Source organism: Homo sapiens, chromosome 4, assembly GCF_000001405.40.
Source record: "Homo sapiens chromosome 4, GRCh38.p14 Primary Assembly".
In the NCBI taxonomy this organism is placed as follows: Eukaryota; Metazoa; Chordata; class Mammalia; order Primates; family Hominidae; genus Homo; species Homo sapiens.
In genome coordinates, this window is record NC_000004.12 from 209,045 (window position 1) to 221,342 (window position 12,298).

Below are 12,298 nucleotides of genomic sequence, written 5' to 3' on the forward strand. Positions count from 1 at the left end.
CTAACTTAATATTTCAGAATAATAGCAATGCTTGGTATTGTTTTGTTTGAAAGTGGGGCATTTACACTCAGGCATCATGAGATGGATACTAATATTCCAAGGTATTTACTCATGTCCTGACCCTTGGGCGTCCCCCTCAGTCTTTCATTTTTTATTTCAATTGAGTAAGTAACATGGTTTTAGTTTTGGGGAATGTAAATTTCTTACAGCAAAGTCCTTCCTCCACAACAATATTCACATAGCACAGTGGGCTGCACACAGTGTGCACTCAGTATGTGTGGAACTGGTTTGAATCAGGAACAAAACAAGTAGCAGAGGTCAGTTTTGCAAAGGATAGAATATGGGTAATACGAGTAAGACTGAAAGGCCACAACTCAACAGCAAACACGTTTTACATTAATTTGAGAAATATTTTCAACTGGTTCTCTGAAAGATGTTGGTTTACAGCAGACATTTTGGAGTATGGTTGCATATTGTAATCACCGGGAGAGCTTTAAATCACACTGCTGCCTGGGTCTCACTCTAGAGATTCTGGCTTAATTATTCCCTTGCAACTTGGGTTTGGGAACATTAAACAACACCACCCACATGCACAGCAGTTTATTCTAATGTGCACCCAAGGGTGAGAAGCATTGATTCAGGGTCAGGAATGCATTGGTTGTGTGTGATTTCTATGTGTGCTCTAGGCATTTGCCATATAGCTGCTCCTAGATGGGGGTCTTAGAAAACATCTTGGCCCTTCAAAACATACTCTGCTGGTTGGCTAAATTGCAACAGGGAAAAATATCAGCAGCTCTATCTCTATGTCACTTGCCTTCAGAGCAAAAGTTTTTTCAGGCACAGTAAGTTGATTTAGTCTGTATTAAAAATCACAGGCTGGGCGCGGTGGCTCACGCCTGTAATCCCAGCACTTTGGGAGGCCGAGGCGGGTGGATCACGAGGTCAGGCAGTCGAGACCATCCTGGCTAACACGGTGAAACCCCGTCTCTACTAAAAATACAAAAAAAAAATTAGCCGGGTGTGGTAGCGGGTGCCTATAGTCCCAGCTACTAGGGAGGCTGAGGCAGGAGAATGGCCTGAACCCAGGAGGCGGAGCTTGCAGTGAGCCAAGACAGCGCCACTGCAGTCCAGCCTTGGCGAAAGAGCGAGACTCCGTCTCAAAAAAAAAATAATAATAAAATAAAATAAATCACAAGTATCCTACCAATACAGAATAATGACACAAAGGGTTTGCAGATATGTGGAGTGCATTATAGGTGTTTTCATATTTATCCTATGATAAGAAATTAAAATGTAATGTTGGGCATTAATTTCCTACACTCAATGCTTAGCCATTTCCTCAAATCATTTCCAGTTTTTCCAAGAGACTTCAGAAGCATTCCCTGGAGTGAATTATTTCCAATGGTGAAGAGTACTGGATGGATGGAATGAGATTCTCAAAAAAAAATCTTGCTTCTATTTCAGAAATGTAACTCTTTAGCCCCTTGAAGGACCAGGAAACCTGGCTGAGTAGTGTGGTCTATGGAGGTGCATGGGCTTCAGAGACAACGTTGATCCTGAGTCCAAGCCAGCTGCTTAGTAGATGTGGGAGAGTTTTATACTTACCTGCAAGAAAAGACAAAACAAAATTGATTGCAAAAACAGAAATTAAAAAAATTTTTCTTATTGTATTCATATTCTTGGAAATGGCTTTTATAGTGGTTCCCATCAACAGACAGATTCTGTTTCCCAAACCTTGAATCTTCCTTATTTGCACAGGCCGAAGCTGTGCATATGACAGTGTGCCAGTTTGGGGCCCAGGCTCAAAAGGTCTTAAATGCTTCTGTTATCTTTTTCAGAATTTTTCCATGTCCATGAAAACAAGCCCATTTTAGCTTTCTGTAGGATAAAATAGCATGCTGAGAAAAGCCAAAGTGCGCCAGTTTACAGACAGCTCACTCCCAGAAGCAGAGCCACCTAATTCACCAGCAGCTGACCACTCACACCTGAAGGAGCCAAACTGAGCCCAGAAGAATGGCCCAGCTAAGCCCAGCCTAAATTTCTAACCAGCTCAACCCCCGAGAGAGAAGGCAGTCGAGGCTGGTTAGGAAAATAGGGACGGAGGGTCTCGGGAGAGGAAAAGCACCTGTGGGACTGCACCTGCCCCGCCCCTGTAGCTAGTGGGAAGAAATGTGGTTAAGAACTTCCTCTTATGCCAGGATGTTGCTCAGATGGGACTATCCCAGCTTAGACATAGGCAAAATAAATCAACCTAAATTTCCTTGTCTTCACCCAGCTCATTGTAAAGTCATTAACATGGTATTAGCATTGTGGTTTTAGCTTCTCCCCTGTAAGTTTCCCTTAGGCACTCATGGGTAATAACCAAAATGGAGTCACTGTGGTCAACCCCAGGCATGCGCAGATGCAACACCCTTGGTGGGGAACTTGACCCGTCCCATTTGGGTAGAACCCACAGAAGACTTCCTCGTTCTTGCCACATAAAAGACCCAGAACTCAGCCCCATTTCTGGCAACCTGCTTTCAGGTCCCCTCTTGCTGCTGAGAGCTTTCCTTTTGCTTAATAAATCCTACTCTGCTTTCTCACTCTCTGGTGTCCATGTGCCTCATTTTTCCAGGTCATGGGACGAGAGCCTGAACCTGGCTGAACTGAGGAGACCACCACACCAGCACCAAAGAGCAACTAGGAGACCGTGATATTCACGTGGACACTCTCAGCTTGCAGCCTCTGCTCTCTCTAGGGGCACTGTCCCACCCACCCTTGAGCCTGAGAAGAAAAGTTGGTAGAGAGGTTGTTCCCTCACTTCCAACAGAAAAGAGGTGTCCAGGCCCTCAATTCCCTGAGGTTAGAGCCCTCATGGCTGCACTCAATGTGGTGGCCACCTGCCATATGTAGCTACTGAGTACCTGGAATGTGGCTGGTTTGAAGTAATATGTGCTGCAAACAAAAAATGCACAGTGAGTTTAGAAGAATTAGACCAGAAATATACTTTATTTCTAATTATATATTGATCATGTATTAAAACAATAATATTTTGGATACAATAGGTTACAATTATCATAAACAATTTCACTTGTTTATTTTTATTAGTTTGGATGTGGCCAATGAAAAATTGTAAATTCACAAATAGCCAACATTTTATTTTTTAGAGACTTGCTTCTCTCTTCAAATCTCAGGTGTCCTACTCAAAAGACCAGAGGCCAGAAAGGTTATGAGATCTAAAATTTTAAAATAATTGTGATTATATTGTTTCCGTTTGTGAACAAGTGTGTCTGTGTGTGCGTGCGCGTGCGTGCACAATTTATAAACGGACGTAACCTCACACAACAGAAGTTTAAAAATGAACCCCCAACAGAGCCAGGCCTAGCACAGAAAGCCCTGCCTGAAAGTACCTGGAGACACGAGTCTGTCAGTCTTGCCTCATTAAGTGTATGGTCGAATTTCTGTCACTCGAATTCTGTCACTCAAAGCTTGAGGGCGTAGAGCTAGTAGTTGTATCCAATGAGGGCGCTGGACTGAGAACTGCCCAATCAGGCAAAGGAGGGGGCGGCATCCGGGATCTGGCGCCGCTTTTGCGTCAGGCTTCTGCCTGAGCTCGGTTAGGGCCTCACCGACCTGCTTCCACCCCTCAGGGAGGCCTCAGTGATTCGGCCACAGCCTCAGCCTCCGTCGCTCTGTGACCTGCGGGTATTGGATGATTCGTAGCTAAGACTCTACGACATCCCTGAAGCCGGGAAATGGTGAGTGTGCCGGGCAGGGCGTCCGGAGGCGACGTGGCGGGGAGGCCTTATCGGAACCAGCGGGAAATGGCGGCAGCGGTACCCAGTCTGCGAACGGAGTCCCCGCTGCCGCCGCTCAGCCCTCGGTCCTCAGTCCCCTCCGGTGAGGGACCCGCGCTCCTGTCGGGGGACCCGCGCTCCTGTCGGGGTCCCCGCAAGGCTGCTCTGGCCCAGCCTGCAGCCCTCCTTGTGCAGTTTTGCGCCCGCAGCCCCGCACCTTCCCCGGGCTGTGGGGTGAGGAGTAGCTCATCTGGAAGACGCCTGCGTCGCGTGCGCGATGCCGGAGTGGGAGCAGCTGTGGTCCGGGGGGGTCCTATCCCTACTTGACCCTGTTCGGAATGAGATCGAGGCCCCATCAAAACATAAGAGTTCATGTGAGCAAATGGGGACTCATTAACGGGACAGCGCAGGCCTTGGCTCATGGTTTGAGGACTGCCAGCGGGTCTTGAAGGAAAGGCTTTTGTGAGGTGTGTGAGGAAGCAAAGCAAATCACCCGCCCTCTCTAACTTGCCCACCAGTCCCCTTGCCCTGTGCGCCTCCTCCTCGTGGCTGTTCCTGAGTAGCATCTTTTAGAATACGCTAGTGTGTGCGCGCACAGCGCTTCGCTGAGTTCTGTGAGTAGTTCTGCCACATTATTGAACTTGAGGAGGGTGTGGGCGCCCCTGGTTTGTAGACAGGTGTTCAGAAATGAAGACGGGTGTCCAGAGGCAGGGACTGGCGTCTGCAGGAGGGCAGCTGTAGGAAGAGCGCTGAGCTTGTGGGGTCAGCACTGACTCTGGGTAGTGTCATTAGTGAGTTGCTGGACACCCCGTTGGGGTTGGAGCATTGACTGGTGTTGAGGAAACTCCGCAAGTTTTTTTGTCAGAAGAAAGACATGGCTGAGCCTGGGCTGGGGGGAGTCGCAGGTGTCCGCGGGAGACCTGACCGGGTTCTGCACATGCACTGTCCTGCTGCGCACTGTCCTGTTCCTCCAGGTCTCCTCCCGGGTAGAGAGGGCACTGAGAACTTGGAGGAAAGGAGTTCTGAGAAACATCCCTTCCCCGCACCCTGCTGCCGGCTGCCACCCAATGCTAACCCGCTCCTGAGCACGCCCACTGGGCATTCGCATGGCCACACGCGTCCTAGGACAGGGTTCTACCCTCAGGAATTGTGGCCATGGCAGCTTTGCTCCTACAGTTTTCTCCTAAGAATACACACAGTGCCCAGAAGACTCCACGCTCATCTCAACCCCAGATCTGCAGCAGGAATCTGTTTTCTTCACCTACCCAGGCTTCTGGACCACCTGATCCTAATCTCCTCTGCCTTTATGGACTCAGGAATCAGTCAGAGCGTAGTCTTGCCTGGGCCTGTACCTGTAGCACAAACCAGTCCTTTCATCAATCCTGCCCTGCCCCCACCCAAGGCTCTTGATAGCTCCTTTCTCTCTTATGCTCTTTTCTTACCCACAAATCCTCTTTCCTGTGCACACAGTTTGCTCAAGTGCATCCCTCATGTGCTACAAGAATTCAGATGTTAGTGAGTTCAAGACCATGCCTTTAGACTTGCCTGTTGTAGGACCAAATACAAATTAGAAGAGGCTTAATGCTTTCTCTTTAGAATGAGGGAAGAATTTTTGCTCTTCTCCCTTTTCTTAAAGCATTTAGTTTGAAAACTTTTATATTTAAACATTTTCTCTGCTTCTTTGAAAAATATGTAAATCATTTTTGTCAGTTAACTAGGTCATTTGTCTTTTTTGACTCAAAACTGTCTTTAGGACCTGGGAACTATTGCTAGGAAATGCGAATAGCAAGAATATACACCCTATGCCACAGTTTCTGTAGGCGAGTAGGAGGCTGCCTTCAGCAGGTACCTGGCTCCACATTTCAAAACTATGTCCTATCATGAAGATATGGGAAGTGTTTGTTTTTTTGTTGTTGTTTGTTTTTAATATTACCAATTAGAAAACCCAGATGACCTCCCAAATTAGTTGACGTTATTATAAACTGTGTATGACAAATGGTGCTGTCATGTCTTGTACTTGAGTACTAACGGTGACGTTCTTTCTGTATTTGCAATCTATTAGTAGATTGCCTGTGATGTACATCATATTTTGGTTTAATTAAATAACAAATCATTATCTTGCTCTAATATTATTTTGGAGAGTATTTTAGGATTGGAGATGATTTTGCTTTTAGTTATATTTTCCAAACACTGTCCAGAATTACCAGATGGTATACACAAAGTGCCCACCAGGCTTCCCTTTAGAGAAAACCTTCCTTCTAAGGATTCCAGCCACAATCCACAATTTTGTGGCAAAGTGCAGCAAAGTGCTCCACAAATCTGCAAACAAAAAGGTTTCTCTATTTGGGATCTACAGTCATTTCTAGAGCAGTTAGACTATATTTCTACAAAAATAACTTTTCAGGACAGCCATCAGTTATTCCACTTCCGTGTGTGCTCCTGGCATCTTCAGATCTGACACTGGTTCAGACATCATGGGGCCCATACACCCAACCAGGATCACACATGTGCATTGATTAAACCTGATAACTTCAATTCTGTCCCTTCTCCCCTTGCCCAAATGCCCACAAATGTCCATAGCTCACCAGCCCTCCAGGACCTAAATGTGCAGTTCCAAATTCTGAATTTATGTCCTGGGATTTGAGAGAAAAACAGCACTTTTATCTGAGAAATACAAGTTCTTTTAATTATCAGACCCAGAGACTTGTTAAAATGAGACCACAGTCCTACTGTTCCCCTCTTTGAACTATTTGTTTTTTGAAATTCCTTGCTATTGCCATCAGTGGCTATAAAGTAACCTAATAATACCACAATGGACACTATAACCCACACTCTGTGGCTTAACATATATAGCCAGCCACTAACCAATTTTAATTCTATAAATCAATAGGAATGTCTAACAACTTTGTATCAGTCTCCTCTCTGCCTTCTTTTTTGCCTTTAAAAATACACTTGTAACTGCTTCTAATTGGAGTGTATATTCAGGGCAGCTATATACCCCAAGGTTGCAATCTTCAAGCTTTGGCCCAAATAAACTCTCTACTTATTTACCCCAGCTTTTTCCTTTTAGGTCGAAATATTCTTCAGAATGTGTTGAAGGAGCCTCCATGAGAGGCTCTCTCTGGTTTTACTCTGTTTGCTGTAATCCCCAAGAATGCAGAGGCGCATTGATCCCACCTAGCATCTGCACATAAAAGCTGGCTTCTGCCTAGGAGTCACAAGACAGGGCCAGATTTTGGGTTGAAGACATACAGAAAACTCACAGAAGGCATTTTCTGCATCATGAAAAGTCAACATAGTCTTCTTAAACCCCACTTTCAGAGTGGAGTCTTTGAGTTTTCCAGGTCTTGTCACCTGTGTGAGAGGCTTCTGGTGTGAACAGAATCCTGTGGCAGAATCTGTAGGTGTTAACACGCACCTTAGCAGTGAGAGGTCAGGGCCACAAAATATACAGAGCCATAATCACAACCATAATCACAAGTATGCCATCCTGTATACTGGGGTACTGGAGTACTTTCATCTTTCCTCTTGTCTCAGAGTTAGCTGATCAGGGACAGTGCACATCACATCTGGATCCAGGATCTGCAGCTCTACCAGGGCAGTTCTGTTTTCTGTTTGCACTCCACAAAGTCAGCCTCAGTCTCTCCTGCCTGGATCACTATGGGGGGCTTCAGCCCAGGGTCACTGAGGACACTCTCACCAGCATCAGTGAGTTATTTGAGACATTTGAGGATGTCCAAAGCAGACTGGGGTCAGTCTGACAAGAAAGTCTAATTCTGGTTCCATTTCAGAGAAAGAGAAATGACTTATCAAGGGTTTGTTCCTCCCCTCACAGAAAGAATCTCATTGGTTCATAACCAGATAAGAGTTGTTCCAGTTTTCTGGTTCTGGAGACTCAAACTGATTAATAAGCTAATTGCTTCTATTTTATATGGTCATTAGAAAAAGAGACGAAGCAGTTGTGGTCCCTCCCATCAAGGAACTTGCAGTCCAGAGCACATGAATAAATGGTTGAATTCAGCATCATGTGTTCAGTACAGAGACAGAAACTGCATAGGAAGCTTAAGCTTCATTTGCATTACTTCCCTTTTGTTATTTTGTAAGTTTTGATCCCTCCACCTGAAGGGCTATTCTGGACAGAAGAGAAGTTGTTATTATTTGTATTGTTTTTAGCTTGCTAAGAATAAGTATTTAGCTTCTAATATAATTGGTCTAGAAAAACATAAGGGTTTTGGTTAAATTCCTTCTTATTGTATGTTGTAATATAGACAGGGAAGTGTCTAAAATAGATTAAAATTACACAAACTCTGGGAATAAAATCTCTCTTGGGCAGGCTTAGGAAAAACAAAACTGAAAATATTTAGTGGCCTAGAGAGCAGAAGCCTAGGACCCACCTTCTATCCCAACCCTGCCCAGATCCACCCTCTGCTGAATCTTGTCCAGGTCTAATCCACACTGAAATCTCTCACAGAACTGCTTAGAGGAGATAAGAGTTTGGGGTGGCTACTCCTACTGCCTCTCCAGAGCTGGTGCTCCCAATTTCCTGAAACACAAAAGCAGATAAATGGGGAAAATCCTAGGAATTACGGGACACTTAGTACCCATCTCCCAGGATGTTATGAGAATTAACACACATACTGTGAGCCTCCCAGCAGAGTGCTCTGTGACATACTTCTGCACACATAGTACATGCTCCATAAAGATCACATTAATGCATGTGCACATGTTTTTCAAATGCAGACTTACTCAGACGTTTCCACCATCTCCAGCCTCTGTAACCTTTGAAGGGCCTGCAGAGAATGCCATGTTTCAGGATGACGATTGGTGGTCTTCAGATGAAAAGTATTTGTGTTGGGGTAAGGGACCCTGTGTGCTGTGCCTGCTTACTCTAGCTGAGTGGTACTATAATGGATCTAGGGGGAGGAATATCAGCATTAATAGGAGACTTGCTATAAGAAGCTATATAATTCATGGACCCTTTTCAAACCTGCAGAATTTTGTCACAGTGAGGCCTAGAATAGCAAATAATTTATACGCACATTGAAGCTTGAAAGCCAGTGCTTAGCTAAGTGACTCTCAGCTGAGTCTTCTAATAGTATCACATGGACTGTTTGAAGAGAAACAGTCACTTGTTCCCTCCCCACAGATCCTGTCTATTGTTCTGGGTGGAAACATCCCTGTTTTTTAAACTAAAACATGATTCTACAGTGAGGGCAGGGTCAAGCATGAGGGCTTCCAGATACTTTAATGAGTGGTGAGTTTACCCTTTGTTCCAGGAAGTCACAGGGTCTACTCTGCTTGGTTTTGGTAGCAGCAGGTCAGTGTAGCCCATATTTCCATTGCAGCAACAGTAATTGCTCGCGTGCCATCATTTTTCCTAAGAGTTATAGAATACTTTAGAGAACATGACTGTGTTGAAAGTTATTTTATCAGATAATTACAGTCAGAACTAGCTCCCTTAACTCATTTCTCCTGTAGTCAATTTAAGAACTCTGTCACTGGCCGGGTGTGGTGGCTCATGCCTGTAATCCCAGCACTTTGGGAGGCTGAGGAGGATGGATCACGAGGTCAGGAGATCGAGACCATTCTGGCTAACACAGTGAAACCCCATCTCTACTAAAAATACAAAAAAAAAAAAAAATTAGCCAGGCATGGTGGCAGGCAACTGTAGTCCCAGCTACTTGGGAGGCAGAGGCAGGAGAATGGCATGAACCTGAGAGGCAGAGCTTGCAGTGAGCTGAGATGGCACCACTGCACTCCAGCCTGGGTGACAGAGCAAGACTCTGTCTCAAAAAAAAGAACTCTGTCACTTGATAAATATGTGTTTTCAGGAACTCTTAACATTCAGGGATGTGGCCATAGAATTCTCCCCAGAAGAGTGGAAATGTCTGGATCCTGCCCAGCAGAATGTATATAGAGATGTGATGTTGGAGAACTATAGAAACCTGGTCTCCCTGGGTGAGGATAACTTTCATGTGTAATTCCTAATATTCCCTCAGAGTTTTATTTTTTTTCCTTTGTAGAATGTTTCTTGGGAGCTTCTGCTTTGCGTGAATTAATTTCACCTTGTTTCTTCATGAAAAAATTGGGAGTCTGCTGGTGTAAAAAAAATCTTTAAGATGTTTCATCTTTACCTAAACCTTCTCTTTTATTGAGGGAATTTTTGTCCTTCACTCTAGATTAGTGGTAATTTTATAAATTCAGTGTTGTAAAATATCGTTTTCCACATCTTAAAATCCAATTTGTACCAATTTACCAATTTTTTTTATTCAGTAGTACTGGGTAGTGGAACTTAGAACCCACAGATTTGAAACACTTAAATATTCTAAAGAGCCTATCAGGAAACAATTTTTGGATTAATTTTTTAGAATCTTCCATAATTTCTCTTTTCTTCTTAGCATAGTACTAGGTTGGTAATTGGAGAATCTTCAGCAGTAGTCACGTTATTTTATCTTATTTTTTAAATAAAACAGGTGTTGCTCTCTTTAACTCAGACCTGATCACCTGTTTGGAGCAAAGAAAAGAGCCCTTTAATGGGAAGACACATGAGACAGTAGCCAAAGCCCCAGGTAGGTGAGAGTGAATGAAGGAGAGGACACAGGCAAGGGGACCAAAGGTGATGAAGGAAGTCAGGCCTTAAAATGTACTTTGGAAAGCACTTCTTCAATGCAAATAATTTCTGAAAAGGCTGCATTTTTTCTCATGTTCACAAATAGGGGCATCTTCAGCCCCATGCTGTTAAATCTTCTAAAAATTCTCTTTTTTCTTTTTTTTGAGATGGAGTCTTGCTCTGTCACCCAGACTGGAGTACAGTGGTGTGATCTCAGCTCACTGCAGCCTGTGCCTCCCAGGTTCCAGCAATTCTCCTGCCTCAGCCTCCTGGGTGACTGGGATTACAGGCATCTGCCAATACACCTAGCTAATTTTTGTATTTTTAGTAGAGACAGGGTTTTGCCATGTTGGCCAGGCTGGTCTCAAACTCCTGACTTTAGGTGATCCACCTGCCTCGGCCTCCCAAAATGCAGGGATTACAGGCATGAGCCACTACACCCAGCCCTCTTTTTTCTTTAGAGATCTCCCTTCAAGTTTACAGGGATAGCCAATGTCTACTTTATCACTTATAAGGGGCTGCATGATCTCACTGCTGTTCCATTGCTTTTGGAAATATAGGAATAATTGTGTTATTGAGGAGCTCTATGTTAACGTATTTTTTTCAAATATTGATTTTGTATCATGCCTAAATATGTAAGGCAAGTAGTGGACATATTGGAATTTGGTTCAGAAATCCCAGGAACACTAGGGACAGATGTTGCACCTTTTCTGCTTAGTGATTTTTAATCCTGTTGCAAATGTAATTCTACAAAAATTCTTTCTTAGCAATTTTATAAGAATGATAAGCATTTTCCTAAATATGAAAAATGTATTGTTGATTGTACTTCAAAATGTTATTGATTTAGTATAAACTGAGATTTGTAATTTAAACTCTAGATGTGTAAATTTTCAAATTATAATATAGTTTAAAGCATGGTTTTCCAACCTTTTGGCTTCCCTGGGCCACATTGGAAGCAGAATTATCTTGGGCCACACATAAAATACACTAACACTAATGATAACTGATGAACTTTAAAAAAAATTTCATAAATAATTTTTATGATAGCTACTGCAACAGATAAGTGAAATGTTCTTACATTCATAGCATTGGGCACCACTTGATTAAAGTATCTACTCACCTTCAAGATTTCTTAAATGCACTGTCATTAACTAGCTTAGAACACTGCTAAGTGTATATTATTATTTCTTAATAACTATTATCTTATACTTTTAGTAAGAAGCCTACTGGGGGCCAGGCGCAGTCGCTCACGCCTGTAATCCCAGCACTTTGGGAGGCTGAAGTGGGTGGATCACCTGAGGTCAGGAGTTCAAGACCAGCCTGGCCAACATGGCAAAACCCCATCTCTACTAAAATTGCAAAAATTAGCTGGGCGTGGTGGCAGGCACCTGTAATCCCAGCTACTCGGGAGGCTGAGGTGGGAGAATCGCTGAACCCGGGAGGCCGAGGTTGCAGTGAGCCGAGATGGCGCCATTGCACTCCAGCCTGGGCAACAGAGTGAGACTCCGTCTCAAAAAAAAAAAAAAAAAAAAAAAAAGAAGCCTACTGGGGTTTCATCATTGAGATCTATTGATATCTATATAAAAATGTGGGTCTCACACATACACCCACCCATATAAGTTATATATGTGTATTGTAAATTCTCACTTAACATTGTTGATAGTTTCATGGAAACTGTAAGTGAAGCAATATATTGTTTAAGAAAACTAATTTTGGCTCAGCACGGTGGCTCACACCTGTAATCCCAGAACTTTGGGAGACCGAGGTGGGTGGATCATGAGGTTAGGAGTTTGAGACCAGCGTGGCCAACATGGTGAAACCCCATCTGTACTAAAGATACAAAAAATTAGCCGGGTGTGGTGGCATGCACCTGTAATCCCAGCTACTCAGGAGGCTGAGGCAGGAGAATCGC

General features: G+C 43.9%; 1 protein-coding gene and 1 pseudogene across 2 annotated transcripts in view; both read left to right on the forward strand.

The window, feature by feature from the left end:
- The first annotated feature begins 3,555 nt into the window (after positions 1 to 3,555).
- The window catches only part of ZNF876P (zinc finger protein 876, pseudogene), a 43,386-nt pseudogene continuing 34,643 nt past the window's right edge, over positions 3,556 to 12,298 (forward strand). The window contains exon 1 of the transcript NR_027481.1: positions 3,556 to 3,737. The product of NR_027481.1 is annotated as a zinc finger protein 876, pseudogene (transcript). The remainder of the gene's footprint in view (positions 3,738 to 12,298) is intronic.
- LOC124900642 (zinc finger protein 141-like) lies at positions 9,512 to 10,599 on the forward strand. Its single transcript, XM_047416470.1, has 2 exons — positions 9,512 to 9,734; positions 10,250 to 10,599. The coding sequence occupies exons 1-2, from the start codon at positions 9,596 to 9,598 to the stop codon at positions 10,351 to 10,353; spliced, it is 243 nt and encodes an 80-aa protein (XP_047272426.1). The 5' UTR covers positions 9,512 to 9,595; the 3' UTR covers positions 10,354 to 10,599.